This window comes from Homo sapiens, chromosome 12 (assembly GCF_000001405.40).
Source record: "Homo sapiens chromosome 12, GRCh38.p14 Primary Assembly".
NCBI lineage: Eukaryota > Metazoa > Chordata > Mammalia > Primates > Hominidae > Homo > Homo sapiens.
Genome location: NC_000012.12, coordinates 29,488,512 through 29,508,878, shown reverse-complemented (window position 1 = coordinate 29,508,878; position 20,367 = coordinate 29,488,512). Strand labels below are relative to the sequence as shown.

The following is a 20,367-nucleotide window of genomic DNA, read 5'->3' as shown; positions in this document are numbered from 1 at the left end:
AGGCTGGGCACGGTGGCTCATACCTGTAATCCCAGCCCTTTGGGATTCCGAGGCAGGCAGATCACCTGAGGTCGGGGGTTTGAGAACAGCCTGGCCAACATGGTGAAACCCTTTGTCTACTACAAAAATACAAAAATTAGCCGGGCATGTTGTGGTGCACGCCTGTAGTCCCAGCTACTCGGGAGGCTGAGGCACGAGAACTGTTTGAACCCGGGAGGCAGAGGTTACAGTGAACTGACATTGCACCACTGCACTCCAGCCTGGGCTACAGAGAAAAAAAAAATACAGCTTCTAGTTTAGTGAAGAAAAGGGCAATTTGAGGGAGAGAAAAGGAACTGCGTTCTGTGTGAAAGGACAGAGAAGCCTGGTGATCAGAGAATAAGATCCCAAGGCACTTCACTGGGGCTGACATTCAGGGAGCCTCCTGGAAGAATCATTTCAAAAGCAATTGCAGTCAAAACAGATTTTGAGAGCACTCTTAGACCCAGAAATGTATAGTTGTCTGCATGTAAGTGCTAAGGCTAATAAAAATCAGAAGACATTTGGAAGACATATCCTTGAATTGAAAAAAATAATAATTGAATATAGCAAATGCAAGTTCCCACTTGTTCAGCAATCTGTTTAACTTCTTATCAGAGTCATTGTTAATACTTCCTTTTGTTGTACATGCCAGTGCCTGGATATCTAACGTACAATTTCTTGTGCTGTCATTTCCACTTTCCTTTTCACCAATATGACCAGTAAATACAGTAAGAAATAGACACTATTGATACAGAGCCTGGATAGTCATTAATAACAGTAATGTTAGTATCGTATTGAGCACTCACTATGTGTCTAAGCTTTTGACAGGTATTTGGAAGATAGGTAAGCACTGGATAAGTATTAGTTGTTTGTTGCTACATGGTGTCTTCACTCTAAGAGATACAATTTTTAATTGTGATGGAAATGTAGAGGGTCACTGGTGTTTATCCACATGGGAGCTATAACTAAGAATAGATGGAACAAATTCATACTTTTTCTAATGGGGGAACTCCAACAATCTTAGCTCTGAGAATTTGCAGAATACAGATCTAAAAGAGGGTGGAACGAATAAGGGAGGTAATACATCCAGAAGCAGAAAAAATGCTGAAAAAAGCTAATAGCTGTGACTGAGTTGCCAGGGACCCCTTCTGGGACCAGGCACACATGGTTGCTAGTTGAAGAATCAAACAAAACAGTTGGAAGCCAACAGAGGGTGGGGACAGTTGTGTTTAGTAGGTCAGGAGTCACATACCATACTGCACTAAAAGTATATAGCTAATGCATACTGCTGCAAACCTGCAGTAGTAAAAAATTTGACTTCACATTCTTATCAAGTCTTTTCATTGCAAAAAACTTTATTAGGCAAAAGTTACTTTTACGTTTTAAGCTGAAGACTAGAATAACTGCTATCACTAAACAGAGAGAGTGGATACATAAACTATTTAATCATTCTTCTTGCAGTTTTAAAAACATTTTCTCATCTCTCATTCTCCCATCCCCTCCACCCCATTCCCCTAACATGAATTTTGTGCCATGGTTCCATTTTACAAGGAACAGTACTAGCCCCCTGAGGACACCAGGAAATGGTAACCTCACACCCTGCATTAGTAGAATTGAAAATCTGTTTTTCTGCCATTTATCCTTACAGTATAACTCTCCTCTTTCACATTCTGCAACTGATCTAGTGCTTAAAACAAATGGAGTCTTCAAAAGCACCAATAGACAAGGATAAAATTACACATACAGACAGAGTTTCCATATGAGAACATTAATGTAAAACTGGGCAGAGGGTCAGTTTCTTAGTCTCTTCATTCTCTGAGAGAGTTTTGTGATGGATCAGAATGTAATTGCTCCCTCTTTCCCACCCCCAGGGAAAATATGTGTCTGCAAGAGCTTATTATGAGAGAGCCTTACAGCTGGTTCCAGACAGCAAACTGCTGAAGGAAAATCTTGCCAAATTGGATCGCCTAGAAAAACGATTACAAGAAGTTCGAGAAAAGGATCAAACATAGCACCACCGTCTGACCCAACCTCATAGGATAATGTGGTGCCTCTGAAAGGGGAGTGATGGAAGCCTTGCTTTCACATCAGCAGGGGCACAACTAATGAGATTTTCTCTCATTCCGAGTTCAGGGTGACACATTTTGGGACATCTGCTGGTAGCCCAGTGCTGAAGGACTTGCTTTTCCATGAAGAAGACGAAAACAGCAAACAAGGGCAAGAAGGTCTGAGAGGGAAGGAGAATGACATTTACACATTTTACAGATTTTTGTTTGGTTTAACTCCAGATTTCTCTTGATATATCTCTGTGCTTTTGAGACCTGGAGATCTAATTCTGTTTAGACATTTTTTGTCCCAGAAATACAGAAGCTTGAAATGCTATGAAGGCAGAGCTTCTATTCTTTATGGGATGAAATATTTCAAAAGAGGATAAATCCTCTGTGGTAAGCCATTTGGAAAATCCTACCAAGAATTGGCTTATTTAATTTTCCAGAACCAGGAATGAGTATCTAATAGCTTTTGTAGAACCTTCCAGAATATGTGGGGAAAAAGGGCTATTGCTAAGTGAGCTTTATCTAATATCCTCCTAAGAGTTTTACTAGTGCTTTTTTGAGGAATTACAGGGAAGCTCCTGGAATTGTACATGGATATCTTTATCCCTAGGGGGAAATCAAGGAGCTGGGCACCCCTAATTCTTTATGGAAGTGTTTAAAACTATTTTAATTTTATTACAAGTATTACTAGAGTGGTGGTTCTACTCTAAGATTTCAAAAGTGCATTTAAAATCATACATGTTCCCGCCTGCAAATATATTGTTATTTTGGTGGAGAAAAAAATAGTATATTCTACATAAAAAATTAAAGATATTAACTAAGAGAAATGTCCTACTTTATTATCTTAATGTTCAGACATCATGAGATTTATTATTTTTTTGAAAAATATATTGAACCATTGAGGAACCTTTATGATGTATCACAGAAATCTTCATAGATTCTAACTAGATGGAAAAAGAGCTCTATTTATTTGTGTTCCTAGGCTTAATGAGAATTCTGGGCTTAGAACATCAACGATTAATACCCAGAATTCTTTGTTTTGAGAATATTATGGAGAATGCTCTAAAAATCTAGGGTAAAGATCTAAATTCAAATTTTAAATATATATTTATATTTAAGAAATAGGAAAGGCAAAGTTGAACTCACAATTTGACATTTATTTTTAGTGTTATTTATTTCATAACTTATAAAATATTTAATATATACATACACACTCTTCTTTTTTCTCTGTACAAAGTGGTTTTAATATCAGCTTTCAAAACTGATCTTATAAAATGTAAATCTAAATTGTAAAATAGTTAAGTTTTAACAGTCCCTCCCAAACTTTGTGTTGATTATTCACTTGCTAAAGAGATGTGAGGAATCAGCCTTCAGTTTTTTGGCAGTAGTATATTTTGGAAGTGAAGAAATTGGAACACCTGTTTCTAATTTGGTCTTCATCATTAGAGACAAAACCAAAACACTCCAGGCAGTACTGTTTATAGTGCTGAGCCAGGTAGCACACAGACATAGTAGCCTAAAGGCTCACATAATTCGCATGCTCAGGCCAGGGCAGGGTAAAAATAGCCTTCTGCTTCTTTCAACCCAGTATCAGGAAGCACTACCCCAGTGTTATTATTTGTTTTGTCAAGGTAAGTCTAAATAAACAAGAAAAACTTCTTCGGAAGGCATGGCGAAGGGAGTATTTTAAATGAAAATGATTACAGAATTTGAATTAGCATGCATCTCTTTGTGTGCAACAGTAATCCAAGAATGTATATGTTACCACTACAACCATTTGTTTCTAATAGTTTTTTCATGTTATATAACATAAATGTATCCACAACCTTAATTAAGAACTATTCTTCCCCCAAAATCATAGTCCTAGTGTCAAGAAACATACTCCAGTGTTTATTGTAAAATAACAACCACACCCTCAAATTGAAAAAAGTGAATGTCTAGGACTTTATTACAACTTTTCAGAATAATCTGTAATGAAAACTCATGCTTAAAAATTTAATGGAAAAGACTGAGCCCCAAATTTTGAATAGTGATTACGCCTTACTTGAAGTGCTAATAAAGGTAGGAGAGTACATTTGTTGGAATAACAGAAATGGTGATTTCAGCCTAAAAGTTTCTGAGGGTAAAGGATCACATGACCTTCAGGAAACTCTCTGCCTCCTGTAGGTGCTTTCCTATCTCCCCCATCCTTCCCTACCCCTTTTCCCTTTTCCTTCCTCTCTTTTTCTCTCACTGTCACTCTGTCTACACACACTGGCATCTTTTGAACACTAAAAGTAAGCACTGTTTTTTAAAAAAGTAATTATTTGTTGGATCAGATACTTTTATCCCAAGTGAATACCTTCACTGAGATGTGGCCAATGCAATAGTTTCACAGTAAAAACAGTGCCTATAAGAAAATAGATCACATACTATTTTTCAATGATATTAAGTGTATTTTGTAACTATTTTCATTTGGTCCTTGTAACATGAAATAATACATGGAACTTACCTTTATAATAAAAATGGAGTGCCCTGGTTCATCATAGAGGTGCATCTAGTTTGCCCTTAATGGAAGTATACTTGCTGTGTGGATTGATAGCACCTTCTTGAAATGGAGGAGCTCAGCTGGCCTCATGGATGTGCAATTTTTGCAGTCCCACAGGGCCTTGCATACAGAAGCACCCCGAGCTCAGTTGAATGTCTGTTTGATTTTTTCTTATTTATTTTTTTGAGACACAGTTCCACTTTGTCTTTTTGTCACCCAGGATGGAGTTCAGTGGCACAAACATGGCTCACTGTAGCCTCGACCTCCCTGGCTGAAGGGATCCTCCCACCTCAGCCTCCCAAGTAACCGAGACTACAGGCATATGCCAGCATGTCCAGCTAATTTTTGTATTTTTTGTAGAGACAGGGTTTCACCATGTTGCCCAGGCTGGTCTCAAACTCCTGGGCTCAAGCGATCTGCCCACCTCTGCCTCCCAAAGTGCTGGGATTAAAGGCATAAGCCACCATGTCCAACTGAAATTCTTAATAATTAATAATTTTTGAGCAAGAGGTCCACACTTTCATTTTGCACTGGGTTCCCAAACAGGTCCTGGGTAGGAAGGATGGCTGAGGATAAAACAGGAGTTGCTTTGGCCTGGCTGAACATTTGAACCAATGATCAGAGTTTCATTTTATGATTGTGTTACTCTGAACAGATTTGCTATTTTTTTCCAGCTACATTTAGAGTTCCTCATGTATATATCACCCCTCTTTTTCCAGTCCATCTAACCTCTCCTTTTTTTTGTGCCTAGAATCAGTTCTCCTTGCCTTCAAAATCCCTGATAAGTGTCCATTTCTTTTTGTATCCTTTGATGTAGAAGCCACAAGAATGGCTTTAGCAGCTTATTTTAATCTTATGAATTATTCATTCAGGATTTTTTAAATGATTCAGATGCTTTCAATCTGTTAACAGTATTTATAAAACATGTTTCAGTGATACAACATAGGTGAACTAAACCAAAGATGCAAATGCCTTGGAGGAAAAGAAATTGTATTATAGAGAATCCTGAGATATATCCTTTTGGGTTGTTTAATTTAAAGCCTATCACAAAACAAAGAGAATTGTCGCACTTTAATTCCAACCTCCTGCAGTACTTCACAACCCTTAGCATAAGATTCTGAAATTTGTAATAGGTGGTACCTAGTTTGATGCAGGGTTTTGCAGCAGTTGTGCGAATGCCTCTGCGCAACGGCCTTTCAGTCAGACTAAATGAGAAAATCCAAACTGTCCTATCAAAACTGACCCACAATAACTGTACTCTGAGGCGAAACAGAGCAAATGTGGGTTTCCTGTTTTCATTGTAAAACATTCCAGGTTCTCAGATTGAAGAGCTACATTCAGCTGATAGTTGACATCTGTTCCCTCACACGTAGTGGCTCTCAACACGGGCTGCACTTTGGAATCACCTGAGGACCTTTCGGAATCTTCGGTTGAATCATCCTGGCTGTCCTGGTGATGCTTCTTATGTGCAGCTAGGCTGGAGAACCACTACAGGGCTGACACCTGGAATGGGAGCTTGTAACTTTTACAAAATAATAGATGTTTATCATCTTTTGCAATTTTTACTTTTAAGTCTATACTAAAATGAGCCAAAGAAGTCTTAACAATGATGTATGGCACAATTGGTTGGTTGAGGCTATCATTCCATGATTACAAATAGGTGGTTATGTGGGGTGGTTTTGCACTTGTGGCAATTGGACTGCAATTTGGCCTTAAAATGACACAATTCCTCGTTCTCAGATGGAGAGGAATTGCCTTGAAATTTGCATGTACCAGACTAAGTGCCAGTATATATATGACTGATATTTTCGTGACTCATAGAAGGTGTCCATGGTATAGAGTTTATGCCTACATCTCTATCTTTATTTTGGGCACACATGAGCTTTTGTTAATTATTTCTTTGTACTTGTTAGAATCTGTTTTTGAAAAAAAAAAAAACTTTTGCTTTGATTTGTGGTGGATTCACCTTCTTAAAATAATAAATTTAGAGGATATTAGGAATGACATTCAAAACAAATATAGTGAGAGGTGATTTTTTAAAAATTTTTGTTCCTGGTTTCCAAATTATGTTTACTTTGATTTGATTATATGTTGGTATCTCCCAAATATAGGTTAACTTAGCTATTTAAATGGTATCTTTTGACATTTAAAAAGAATTAAGTACCTGTCAAATCTAGCATTGAGGTTGCAGTTGAATAAGATAAAAGCTTAGGATGTCAAAAAATAATATAGAGAAATATTATAAGATTTTATGATTATTCTTGACGTTTTTGATGCAAAAGGAAAATATGCTGAATAGTTCTTCCAAAAAATATTATTTCCCTCAATATTTTATTTGTAGCCATGTAATTTAAAGAGAACAGAAAATAACTGCAATCAAAAGTATGGTTTAATATCAATCAAAGTGGCACAACAGAATTGATAAGATCTTTATAACAATCAATTGGCTGATATTAAAATATTGATTTTAATTGATCTTTTCAATTAAAATCTTTAGGGCCTGTAACTCATAAAATCAGCATCCACCACAATATATGGTCATTATTGGTTTGTAAGCATAGATCACCATTGACTCCTACCTGGAGAGACATGTCTATTTCTAAAAATCCAGTAGTTTCTTTGCATTCTCAGTAGTACACGTTGTATATATATATATGTAACAAATTTGGTAGTTTTCAGTATGTGTGATGTCCTTTGGGGGTTATTTATCTTGCTGGTCCATAGGAGGGGTACACTACCCCAAGAATCAAGACATCTGAGTTCTAGTTCTAGTTCTAGCTCTGCCACTGAAGAGCCACCTTACCTGGGGCAAGTTAGCCATTGTCTCCCAGTCATGTTTACCACCCATGAAAGGACTCGTCGGTTTGATGTTTCCATTAAGCTCAATGAGTAACTCTAATAGTTACTCTTGAATCTGGATTGAAAAACACCATGCATCTGATGAGATAATTCATAAATGTTGCCCCTTTTTTAAATGATACAACCCTAAAAGTGACTGAATTGCCCAAGTGCTTGAACATGGCAGAGGTAGTTACTCCTATTTTGCAGTTTGTGCACTTAAAAATTCCTACAGTGATTGTTACTTTACTGGGGAAAAAAGATGAGGTGAAACTTCCTCCCAAGGAATTAAAATATCTGTAGAAGCCATGGCTTGCTTTTATAATGTGGAAATCATTTGATTTGCTGTAATTCACGCAGATCCCTCCTTTTGTCAGGGGGAAATGATTTGCATCATGTTCTTTTTTCATAATGCTTTTACTTCCTGTTTGGATCAGTTGTATGTAAATGTACATTTTTGTTACTTTGGCTGTGCCCGTTAGAATTTATCTTCCATAAAGTATTTCTCCCATTGAGTCTAATGATGTATACTTTGCCTAGGTCTTTCCAAAATTAAATTTATGTAAATGTCTATTTTATATAAAATATGATTAAAATAAGTATGTCTGGTTTCAATCTCTCAAGTACTTCATGGTTAGTACCTACTGATGTCCATGTCACCAGGAGTGTCTGTTTTAACAATGTTTTAAAAAGGACCATCTTCCTTCCTTCATTCTTTCATTTACTCATTTCATTGCATTATTCTGTGTGCTTCCTGTCTGCTCTCTTTCCCTTCCTCCGCACAGTGCCAATTCAGTACTCACCCACTCCAGATCCGCTCCCCTATCATGCTTAGATGCTGTCACCTCTCTCTTCACAGAGTAAATAAAAGGTAGAAAGCAGCTGTCCCCCAATGCCCTGCACTTCATCTATACATTTACCTGCACCTAATTCTATCCTTTCTTTTCTCCTGTTATCGTAATGGAAGAAGAGGACCCTAGGTTCTGCATTTTGCCTCTTATGGAACTTCATTCCATGCCTTAACTTCTCCTTCATCTTTTTACTTCTTCCTTTTGCTGGCTCTTGTCAATTTGTCAGTTCTACTCTTCTTAAAGCACATACACAGGCAATCAACACCGAAACAATTTGAAAAAAAAAATCCTCTGTTTCATTTTATCTGTAGCTGCTATCACATCTCCGTCTGCCCTTCACAGCCAAGCTTTTCGAATAGCAGATCACAGTTGTCCTATACTAGTGAAGATGTCCAAATTAAAGACAGATTTGCTGTACATCACAAGTCACCACTGTCTGGGGGTAGTCCAGTCCACTCCTCTCCTTGGTATCCTTTCCTTTTCTGAAGTTATTTTAAACATAAAAAGAGGATTCTTCCATTTGGATGTTTTAATATAACTACAAACTCAATTTATATTGAAACCATTACTTTTTTAGAAAATTTGAGTCTAAAACTAAAACTAATGGCCTGGCTTTTTTTGTTTGTTTGTTTGTTTTTGAGATGGAGTCTCACTCTGTCACCCAGGCTGGAGTGCAGTGGTACGATATTGGCTCACTGCAACCTCCGCCTTCTAGTTCAAGCGATTCTCATGCCTCAGCCTCCCGAGTAGCTGGGATTACAGGCATGTGCCACCACACCCGGCTATTTTTTTTATTTCTAGTAGAGATGGGGTTTCACCATGTTGGCCGCCAGGCTGGTCTCGAACTCTTGACCTCAGGTGATCCGCCTGCCTCACCCTCCCAAAGTGCTGGGATTACAGGCGTGAGCCACTGCGCCTGGCCTATGGCCTGGCTATTAATGGTGTGTAATTCTTATTGAATGGCTCTTTTTCCACTTAATGGAAAGGCATTATTATGTGAGGCCTGTAAGGGACTAAACCTTTGTATATAAGAATAGGGTCTCAGTTGAAGCTGTGGGTTTTGAACTCTGGAAACAAAGGGAGTTGTTCTGTAACAGGAAATGAGACAGTGCCCCACCGCATGGAGATTCCCAGGTTTGAAACAAAGAAACCACAGAGTATGCTGCAAAGCTGTGTGCCATGGGCAGAAGAGTGAAAGGGGACAGCACCTGTGAGCCTCACGGAAGGGCTGGCCATGGTTTGACCAGCAACTTGAATATTGCTGGCCTGACCGTTCTTGCACAGCACATGTTCACCTTCTAGTCCTTACCCTTTTGTTTAGTAAAGGCTTTTTGGTGGGTTTCATCTTACCTCTTGCTAAAAAGAAAGAGGGCTTTGGGTCCATGTGGGGGCTCTGAGCTTTTATTGGAGAACGGTGTGGCCCTGGAGCTGGCATGGTGGTTCAAATGGTCACCCCTGTGTGATGACTACAGGGAGGAAAGTGGTGAGGGCCACTGTTCAGGTAGCCACACATCTGGACATTCCCTGGACAGTACTGAAGCCTGGAGGTTCAATGTTTTATTTTCACAGAAGAGCTGCTTACCTTAAGAGCATGCTGGACACCCCCTATCCCCTAGACACCCAGGCATGAAACTAAGGAGTCATCTACTCAAACTGTCATCCGAGGTGTCTTTCCTTGAAATAAATACTCAAAAGAAAATAGTGCTACTCTCAAGAACAGCACAGTCCCATAAAACTATTGGTGATGACAGAATGTTCTGTATTTGTGCTGTTCAATATGGTAGCCACTAGCCACAGAGGGTAAATGGACACCTTTTGAAGATGCCACAGCGACAGGCATCATTCACTTTTTTTAGTCTTTTCTTCAAATGGTGTCCATTTACCCTCTGCTCTCTCCTGCAGTCACAGAGGTCATTGTCCCCAGTAGATTGTCACCTGCTTGTACCTGTGCCTGCATTCTCTCCACCTTGACTGCCTTCTGTTTTCCCATCTACCTGCTCATCTCCCACCTGCCCCCATTAGTTTATGTACCCTCCTACCTCAAGAAGCTTTTATTTCTATTTTACATGAAAGTAAAATAGAGCACTTGAACGTAAAATCCTCCAACTGGTGCTGAAGGACTGGTGGCCAGGTTATTTGATATATATGGAATGTCCACTTAGCCTTGCCTTAATTTTCTGACAAAATATAAGACCATTACAAATTCTGGCTTTGTCTTCTAACTTCAGCTTAACTTATTACAAAATAATATTCATGGGAAAAAAAGTGATATCTCACCACTAGATTAATTTTAATCATCTTAAATGATGGATCCTACAGTTTTGGGGCCATTCTGCTGAAATGGAGGACAGTACTGCCACCCAGAAAATGATGTCAGCTCAAGCCTGATCTTTCCTATTCACTCTTTGAAAACTCTAGAGGGTCAAGGGCAACAAGCTTCTTAGAAGGGGCAGTATTGTACTAAGCTTCCTGACCCTCCGCCTTTCAGAAGTCCTGCCTGTGTTTCGTGTGGGGGACCAGCTTCATTGCCCCTGAGCTTGGACCGCACTCCCCAGTCTGGGAATTCGCAGGGCTAAGCGTTCCAGGCCACTGATTGGCTTGCTGTGGATCTGCTAGCAGGAACCTCTGCACACGTGTGAGCACCACTGTCACCCCTTGGGCCACCTCGTGCCAGTCTCTAAGGCTGGGTGGCGGGGCACTGTGACACCAGGGGTGACCAGAGAGCGGCGGCAGCTCACAATGATCAAATGATCGTGAAGAGGGACACCTGCGAACCAAGGCGCCACGGCAGGTGCTGCCCATAGGCACCGCAGGAGGGGATAAAGGGCGAGACCCCCGCCTTCACCACAGTTTTCTCAGCCTGCAGGGAGGGAGGACGTGCGAGGCCGGTGCGTGGAGGCTATGGGCCTGCTGGCCAGTGCTGGTTTGTTGCTGTTGCTGGTCATCGGCCACCCCAGAAGCCTAGGTGAGCCTAGGGACCTGGGCACCAGGACTGCGGAGGAGGCTGAGCGTGCTGGAGAGGGAAGACTTCATTACTCCTTGCCTCAGGAAGTCGGGGTGGTATAGCCACACCTGAGGCATTTGGGAAGAAAGGGTGAGGGGGTGGTGCATGCTCAGATGTCCCCAAAGGAAGGTCTGGGCCAGACTGCCTTTTTGAAATTTTTTGCATTTTAGAGTTCGTTTGTAGGCACACCTGCTAATCATGTGTGTACTAAGGAGCCTCCTCCAAGGAAACCTAACCAAGTAGAAGTAACTTAAAGACAAATATCTCCCTTCCGGAGTAGTATAGGTCATTCCTCAGTATCTTTTGTTTTGTTTGTTTGTTTGAGACAGGGTCTGGCTCTGTCACCCAGGCTGGACTGCAGTGATGCGATCACGGCTCCCTCAAACTCCAGGGCTAATGTGATCCTCCTGCCTCTGCCTCCTGAGTAGCTGGGACCATAGGCACGTACCACCACACTTGGCTAATTTTTACATTTTTTTGTAGAGATGGGGTCTTGTCATGTTGCCCATGGTTCTGACCTCCTGGGTTCAAGTGATCAGCCTACCTGGGCCTCCCAAAGTGCTGGGATTACAGGCGGGAACCACTGCATGTGGCTCCTGGTATCTTTAACACAACCTAAATTTGCATCTTCCCAGAGTAAGCCCCAAGTCACCTACCAGAGGCAGCGCTGGCTCCTTCCTGCCCAGTGGTAACACAGGCTGAAAGGGAGCAGACAGGAGGCAAATTCCGGTCAACCCAGGTGACTGTGGGATATTCTGAAGAAAATATTGAGAGAAGAATGTGGTAGTCTGCAGCTAAGTGCTATCAGAATGTCTGTGCCAGGCCAGGAAAATCCAAATGGGAAATCTTGGTAAAGTGAACTCTTACATAAGGCTCTGTGTGTGCACACACACATGCTCTTCTACACAGGACTGAAGTGTGGAATTCGCATGGTCAACATGAAAAGTAAGGAACCTGCCGTGGGATCTAGATTCTTCTCTAGAATTAGTAGTTGGAGAAATTCAACAGTGACTGGACATCCATGGCAGGTCAGTGCAACAAAGGCATTGATTTCTTAATGAGAAAACAGTGAAATATTTCCTTTGTTTCGAAAGCAAGAATGCACGTTGATATGTAGTTTTTCTCCTGAACCCCTCTAGCTCTCTACCAAAAAGTTTACTTCGTAGGAACTATCTTACTATCCAATTTATGTCGGTATTTTAAGAATATTATGTCAGATTAGAAAAGTTGATCTCCAGTGTTTCCGATGGAGATACATATGTGGGGAGACATATTAGCTGCATTTGTAACTTTCTTCTTGGGTAGGTCTCCCTAAAATCAGATGAGCACCACTTCTGTGGAGGAAGCTTGATTCAAGAAGATCGGGTTGTTACAGCAGCACACTGCCTGGACAGCCTCAGTGAGTAAGTTGTGGATTTCCATTACTTGTCAGGCCTTGATTCCTGGCTATGCGACTGGCAGATTTGTTGCTCTAAATAGCAGGTTCATTCTCAGTCCCTTTCTTACTTTTGCCTCCCAGTGTACCCACCCACTGATCTTCCTGATTCCCAGAAATGTGTGTCTGTCCCAAGATTCCCAGTGCTTCCTGTTCTACTGAATTAAACAATCCCAGACATCATCTATAATTTATGGATTTAGTGCTTGGGTAGAGGTGGTGGTTACTTACTGTAATAAAGCATTAACAAGAAATGTTAAATGGATGCTCCAAAGTTTTAATCATCTGGGTTTAAATCATTAGGAGGGAAAAAACTGCAGAAATTACAAATATTTGACCAGATTAAAAGAGGGTACTAATAAGAGAAAAGAAGGAACAGTTCTAGAAAAAAACTTCTGTATCCTGTTACAAATGGCATTGCATGTGTGAACTATGGTTTGTATATCAAAGAAGAAAAGGATGCAATATTTAAATACTTGACTCAGAAAAATGGAAACATGACTGAAAACTACGATTTTTTCTAGATTAAAAAAAATATGACCATTGGTAATACTCAATAATAAGGAAAACCTTCTTCAAAGACTCAGGGATGCTTAAAGATACATTAATCACTTTTCATTTAATTACATCAAACCAAGAAGACTTGCGTAGGGGAAACAACTACTTATGAAACATTTTTCTTTGGTTTTAGGAAGCAGCTGAAGAATATAACTGTGACTTCTGGGGAGTACAGCCTCTTTCAGAAGGATAAGCAAGAACAGAATATTCCTGTCTCAAAAATTATTACCCATCCTGAATACAACAGCCGTGAATATATGAGTCCTGATATTGCACTGCTGTATCTAAAACACAAAGTCAAGTTTGGTGAGTATGGAGAGTTAGAATATTAAAAATGCAGTGGAGGAAAACTGCTAATTATGTACAAGTTAACTTTAATGTCTGTGTGGCTGTCTAGTAATAGAATAGCTAAGCTTTGTTTCTTTTTAAAATAATTTTGTTCGGTCTATAACCTATTGAGAAAATACTGTATAGGCTACATGTCCCAGCCACAAATTATTTATGCTTAACCTAACAATCAACATTTTTTCCCTTTCATTTATTTCCATTGATACATATTAGAAGTACATATTTTCAGGGTACATGTGATAATTTGATACATTCATATAATCAAATCAGGGTAATTAGGATATCTATTACCTTAAATATTTATCTTTTTGTATATGCTAGGAACACTTGAATTATTTCTCTGATCTATCAAACATCAGGTCTTACCTCTTCTAAGTGTATATTTGTATCCGTTAATCAACCCCACTTCATCCTCCCCTCCTCCCTACCCTTTCCTGCCTCTCATAGCCACAGGTTTACCCTCTATCTTCATGAGATTCAGCATTTTAGCTCACACATGAGGGAGAATATGTGATATTTGTTTTTCTCTGCTTGGCTTATTTCACTTAATATCCATGTTCAGTTTCATCTGTGTTGTTACAAATGACAAGATTTCATTCTTTTTGTGGCTGAATAATAGTCCGTTGTGTATATATACTACATTTTCTTCATTCATTCATTGATGAACAACTTAAGTCCATATTTTGGCCAACTGGTATTTTAAGGACTCCTGTGTCTTGGCTGGGCTACATTCTAACTACCTACCTATATTCATCTCTAACAAAAAAGCTCGAAACATTTGAAAATATTTTCAGAGACTTCTTTCTGTCATTACTGTGAACAAGATCTCCAACACTCTCTCAACACAGGTAATATAAACATTCTGGGTAAAATACTAAAAGCCCCCTTTTTTTTAAATGCAAGAAAAGGAAGTGTTAAGTGGCCAAAAACAAAGCACAAGTCCAGAGTAGTTAGCCAGGCCACTGCCCTTAAGGGATCAAATTGATCTTTAAGATCCTAGAGATTGACCTGGCCATGAGAGGAGCTGTAAAGAACCTGGAACTTTCTGAAAGGTGATGCTTTGAAAGATAGGGAGAGGGAGTTGTGTGTGTTATGCTACATAAAGTGAGGGAATAAGGACACTTACTTGTCTCAACCTTGGCTCTGGACAGAGGGTTCTCAGAAGAATCTGTAATCATGAGCCAGGCCTCACTCAGGTTTGATGCTGGAATTGACATCACCTGTGTGGCACAAAAAACTCCAAGGCAAAATTTTAAAGTGGTTCCAGGTGAGTAATCAGCCTCTGGCAAAAGCAAAATAAATTCTCTGAGAGAATGAAATTTAAATCCCAGGTTTAATATATTCCCATAAAGTTTTAATGAATTCGAGCACAGAAACATGCAGAGAAATTTGCCATCAAAGAGAGTCTGAAGAATTAACAATCAGAATCAGACCTTCAAAGGTTACAAATTTCAAGATAGAGAATAGAAAATTAGTATATTAAAGTTTAAAGCAGTGAAAGTTACTGAAAATGATTGAACCACAAGAAACTATTAGATGGAAGGGAAATTTGAAAATAAGCCAGTAAAACATGAAAATATAAAAATGTAATTGGAATTAGAAACTCAATAGAATATTTATCTACCAGGTTAGATTAGGTGTATGGAACTAGACAATCTGAAATAATTACCCGGAGAAGACAGTGACGATAAGAGACAGAGAAGATAGAGTGTAGTAAACATCCAATTTGAAGTTTAGAAAGAGTATGGATATTGGTAGAGAGAGACTGTAATTCAAGAGAAAGTGGCTGAGGATTGATCATAATTGATATCCAAATCTTTAGATTTAAAAAGCTTAGTAACTCCAACTATGATACAAAAAATAATTATATATCTAGACATGTGCTGAAAATGTAGCACACTAAAAGAATGGATCCCAAAAGAATCTAGAAGGAAAAAGACACATTACCAAAAACGGAATGTTATTGACTTCTCAACAGCAGTAAGTGAATGTCAGAAGACAGTAGGCGATCAAAATACTGAGAATAACTCGAAGTGTATATAAGAGGAAACTATTGCCCCATTTTTTCTTTCCTTTACAGAAAACATCTATTAAAAGCCATCTATACTAGTTATGTCAATTTCGTTTCCTCAATTCTCATAGCTGGGTGTATTAGGTTAAGATGTCTGTTCCACATTTAAGTGGATCAGACTTTCTCTCCACTGTTCCATAAATTTGGTCTTGTCACAGTCACTAATGACCTCTATGTTGCTAAATTCAAAGTAACTTCGCAATTCCCATCTTTCTGGGTAAGAGTTTTTAGCAGAATTGCTCATATGTTCTTGGAAATATTTTCTTCACTTGAATTCCGGGAATCCATTAGTTATTCTCCTACCCTATTGTACCCTTTCTTAGTCTTCTATGATGATTCTTCCTCTTCTCCTTGACTTCATATTGTTGGAGTGCCCCAGGCTCAGCCCTGGACATCTTATTCTCTAGTTGTGCTCATTCTCTTTGTGACCTCATCCAGGATCAATAATTTAAACATCTAAATCTAAAAAACTCTGGATTCATCCTTGATTCTTCTCTTGGACACTGTACATCCAATGAGTCAGAAAATCCTGTTGGCTTCTGCTTCACTCACTTCACACTTTTGCCATCTTGTTCCAGGCAATACTACCATCATGTCTTGCCTGGGTTAATTTTAATGGTCTCTGAAATTTTCTCAAGCTGCTTCTTCTGTCTTCCTAATGTTTGTTATTAACCCAGTGGCCAGAATAGTACTTTTTAATACGTAAATCAGGTTATGTCACCCTATTCAAACCACTTCAATGGTTCTCCACTACATTTAGATGAAAATCAATGTCATTATTATCTGACATACCCTCTTTTCTAGTCCTATATCTAACCTCTGATTTGTTTATTTTTTTTTTTTATGAAACTAACTTAATCTGCTCCAGTCATCCTGGCCTCCCACTGTCCCCTAAACATATATGCATGATCCTGCAGCAAGGATTGTTTCTTCATCAAATGACTTCCACCCAGATAACTACATGATTCCTTTCCTCAGCTTCAAGACTTTGCTCAGATGTCACCTGCTCAATGAGACTTTCCATGACCATCATATTTAAAATGACATCTTCCATGCCATTCTCCCTAATCTCCAGACTTATCTCCTTTATCCTATTATTTTTCCATAGCATGTATTTACCACTGAACAATGTATTATATTTGCTGTTTGTTTCTTCTCCTCTCACCCAACACACAAACACAAATATATACACTCATGAGGTTCTACCAAGACAGAGATATTTTTCTTTCTGTTCATTCGTTGAGATCTAAAAGAGTGCTTGCCACGTGATAATTTGATCATCTTGTTCTACTGTCTTCTAACATTCGCTTACTGCTGTTGAGAAATCAAGAACATTCCATTTTTGGTAATATGTTTTTTTCCTTCTAGATTTTTTTGAGATCCATTCTTTGTTTTTAGTGTGCTACATTTTCAGCAATGTCTAGATACAAAATTATTTTTTGCATCATAGTTGGAGTTACTGGGCTTTTTTCTAAAGATTTGGATATCAATTGTGATCAGTCCTCAGCCACTTTCTCTTGAATTACAGTCTCTTCCCACCATTATCCATATTTTTTCTAAGCTTCCCAGGTTCTTTACAGCTCCTCTCATGGCCAGTTAAATTTCTAGGATCTTAAAGATCAATTCAATCTCTCAAAGGCAGTGGCCTGGCTAATTCCTCTGGATTTGTGTTCAATAACTGTCAAGTGAAAAACTACCCTTTCAAAACACAGGCATAGTCTAAAATGTTAGTACATTAGGGGGCTCGTGGTGTGCGGAACAATTGGCCTTATGTTTATCCTTGTTTTACTTTTTCTGCATTTCTCAAAATTTCTATAAATACAAAACGGTTTTATATGGAGGGGCCAAAACTTAAAATATGTCACCATTACATTTAGGAAGAAAGTGTAGAAGCCATGAAATCAAGAGATTTCACTTTTCCAAATATATTCAACATGGCGTATTTATCCATGAACCTCATGCCTTTGTTGTTTTCTCAGGAAATGCTGTTCAGCCAATCTGTCTTCCTGACAGCGATGATAAAGTTGAACCAGGAATTCTTTGCTTATCCAGTGGATGGGGCAAGATTTCCAAAAGTAAGAGACACCAAAATGACTTAATACTTCTTCCAGCTCTCTGTATGTCCAGGGGAAGCAGAAATAATTTTGTTGACCATGAGTAGTACATTTATCATTTTTTATAACTAATTTCTGACACAACGAAGATTTCTGGTAGTCCTCAGCATTGAAAGGCTTATACTTTTAAAAAGGCTATTCATATCACTCCTGCTGCTGCCAATTTGGTATGGCAGATAAAGGAAGCTGGATAGAGCTGTGACAGATGAGGAGGAATAAGGCAAAAGGATGATCAGGAAATAGCAACAATAGTTAAGCTTCTTTGTCTTTAATATTGTGACTTTTTTGAAAAGTCAGACTCGGAAACAAAAAGTAGAAGGGTGATTACCTGGAATTTGAGAATGAGAGAAACGGGAAGATGTGGTTCAAAGGGTGTAAATGTGGAATTGTATGACAAGTAAGTTCTGGAAATCCAATATACTGCATGGGAACTATAGTTAATATATTGAATACTTGAAATTTGCCAAGAGAGTAAATGTTAAGTATTCTCACTACAAAAAAGTTAACTCTGTGGGGTGATGTAATGTTAATTACCATGATTATGGTAATCATTTTGCAATGTATACATATATTAAAACATCACTTTGTACTCCTTGAATAAATACAATTTTTATTTGTCAACTATACCTAAAGCTTGACAACAATACATTGTGATTTTTTATTTTATAAATAATTTTAGGCAGGGCGCAGTGGCTCACGCCTGTAATCTTAGCACTTTGGGAGGCCAAGGCAGGAAGATGGGAGCCCAGCAGTTCCAGACCAGCCTGGATAACATAGGAAGACCTTGTCTCCACAAAAATAAATAAATAAATAAATAAAAAATAAAAAATTAGCAAATCACGGTGGCATGCCTGTAGTCCCAGCTACTTGGGAAACTGAGGTGGGAGAATCACTTGCTCCCAGGAGGTTGAGGCTACAGTGAGCCTTGATTGTACCATTGCACTCCAGCCTGAGTGACAGAGGGACACCTTGTCTTAAAAAAATCATTTTTATAAAACATTGCCATATTGACCAAAGTTTTCCTCTTTTGGGGAAACATTTAAGCATTTGTTTAGAGCAGCCACAATTGTACAATTGCCTATGTTACCTTAAAAATCTGCTGAATTTTCAAAAAATGTCCTCTGCCACATATCTGATTTTTAGAAGTGAATATGATTCACACCTAAAAACAATTACTTCTACATGTGGTTAAAAATCTGTTTGAAATAGTTCCAAACTTGTAGACTTCCCATTAATTTGTTTCCATGAGGATATTGTGTGCTAACTTATCTGTCCTCTCTCTACAGCATCAGAATATTCAAATGTCCTACAAGAAATGGAACTTCCCATCATGGATGACAGAGCGTGTAATACTGTGCTCAAGAGCATGAACCTCCCTCCCCTGGGAAGGACCATGCTGTGTGCTGGCTTCCCTGATTGGGGAATGGACGCCTGCCAGGTACAAAAGTGTAAACCAGCCTAGCTGTTCAGTAACATGTGGGTGAAAGTAGATTCTGCCTTTCCCCAAAAGAAGCTCATGTTTCTTCTATTACTGTGTCAAAATTCTTTTTCCCTTCATCTTTTCCTCTGATTTCTACTGAAAAAGTGTACTTGACCTGAGCAGAAAGAATTATTTCCTGTCTCCACGTCCATTCCTACCCCTACACTTCTTTTATTTCGGTGGGTTGGCAAAAGGGGTTAGTTTCAACGTGTGCAACCTAATGGAATCAAGCAAGATGACCACTTTCACAATCTTATTAGGCCTAGCTATGAATTCTTCATTTCACATATTGTTAAGCATTGTGGATTTTTTTTCCTTTGGTGCAGAATATATTTGCACAAAGTTTGACTGAAGATACATAGCTTTAGTCACTGTTGTGTAAGAGATATTGGGAATAACTACAATCTCCCAAGACTGACACAACTTCACAATGAATACCAATCTTCACAAGATATTTAGAGAGGACAAGGAGACCAATTTGTGAAACACATGAGTTTTAAGTTTTAGATAGGTCTTCCAAGTAAATTATCTTCTCTTTTAAGGTGGAGCAGTAAGGAGTCATTATTCTTGGCCAAAAAGCAGCTTGAAAATGTGAGGGAAGCTCTCTGAAATTATCTGTTGGAAGGATTTTTGAGTTTTTCTTCGAGGCGATGACAGGAGTTTGGGAGGGAGGAGATTGAAACGTACACTTATGCCGCTTTCTAAATTGGAAAACAGATAGGCTAAAGGTGCTTTTTCCTATCTGCATTCATTACAGGCAATCCTTTTTTGGATGAAGCCCTCTACACCTTTTGAGAAGAGTTTAATCTGACACAATGTTGTCTGAAACATAGTCTTAAAGCAGCATAGATTCTGGAATGTTATTGAAGATGCAATCCTAAAATCTTGGGTTCTTTATTCTGTAGCATAAGAGCCAATGTGGTCCTTTCCTTTCTTTTTTTTTTTTTTTTTTTTTTTGAGATGGAGTCTCACTCTGTTGCCCAGACTGGAGTGTGCAATGGCGCAATCTTGGCTCACGGCAACCTCTGCCTCCCAGGTTCAAGCAATTCTCCTGCCTCAGCCTCCT

General features: G+C 39.0%; 2 protein-coding genes across 20 annotated transcripts in view, besides 1 other annotated feature; both read left to right on the top strand.

Annotated features, from left to right (window-relative positions):
- The window catches only part of TMTC1 (transmembrane O-mannosyltransferase targeting cadherins 1), a 283,947-nt gene extending 275,881 nt beyond the window's left edge, over positions 1–8,066 (top strand). For 6 of the 8 annotated variants that reach the window (NM_175861.3, XM_047429634.1, XM_017020005.2 and 3 more), the window contains one exon: positions 1,893–8,066. In NM_175861.3, the coding sequence (NP_787057.2) occupies positions 1,893–2,033 (141 nt within the window). In that variant the 3' untranslated portion in view covers positions 2,034–8,066. The remainder of the gene's footprint in view (positions 1–1,892) is intronic. The other 2 variants (NM_001193451.2, NM_001367875.2) reach the window with 1 other exon arrangement.
- Positions 5,124–5,293: an enhancer, noted in NCBI's record as "experimental_27770 CRE fragment used in MPRA reporter constructs". NCBI's record gives its function as "activates a minimal promoter by MPRAs in K562 erythroleukemia cells, with activity observed for both the introgressed and non-introgressed 12:29656604 variant alleles {active_cell/tissue: K562}" and the evidence as "EXISTENCE:reporter gene assay evidence [ECO:0000049][PMID:34662402]".
- A 3,126-nt stretch (positions 8,067–11,192) lies between the features above and the next one.
- OVCH1 (ovochymase 1) overlaps positions 11,193–20,367 on the top strand; it is a 95,519-nt gene continuing 86,344 nt past the window's right edge. For all 12 annotated transcript variants that reach the window (XM_024448968.2, XM_011520638.3, NM_001353179.2 and 9 more), the window contains exons 1-6: positions 11,193–11,256; positions 12,205–12,323; positions 12,601–12,698; positions 13,422–13,594; positions 17,687–17,782; positions 19,108–19,259. In XM_024448968.2, the coding sequence (XP_024304736.1) occupies positions 11,193–11,256; positions 12,205–12,323; positions 12,601–12,698; positions 13,422–13,594; positions 17,687–17,782; positions 19,108–19,259 (702 nt within the window). The remainder of the gene's footprint in view (positions 11,257–12,204; positions 12,324–12,600; positions 12,699–13,421; positions 13,595–17,686; positions 17,783–19,107; positions 19,260–20,367) is intronic.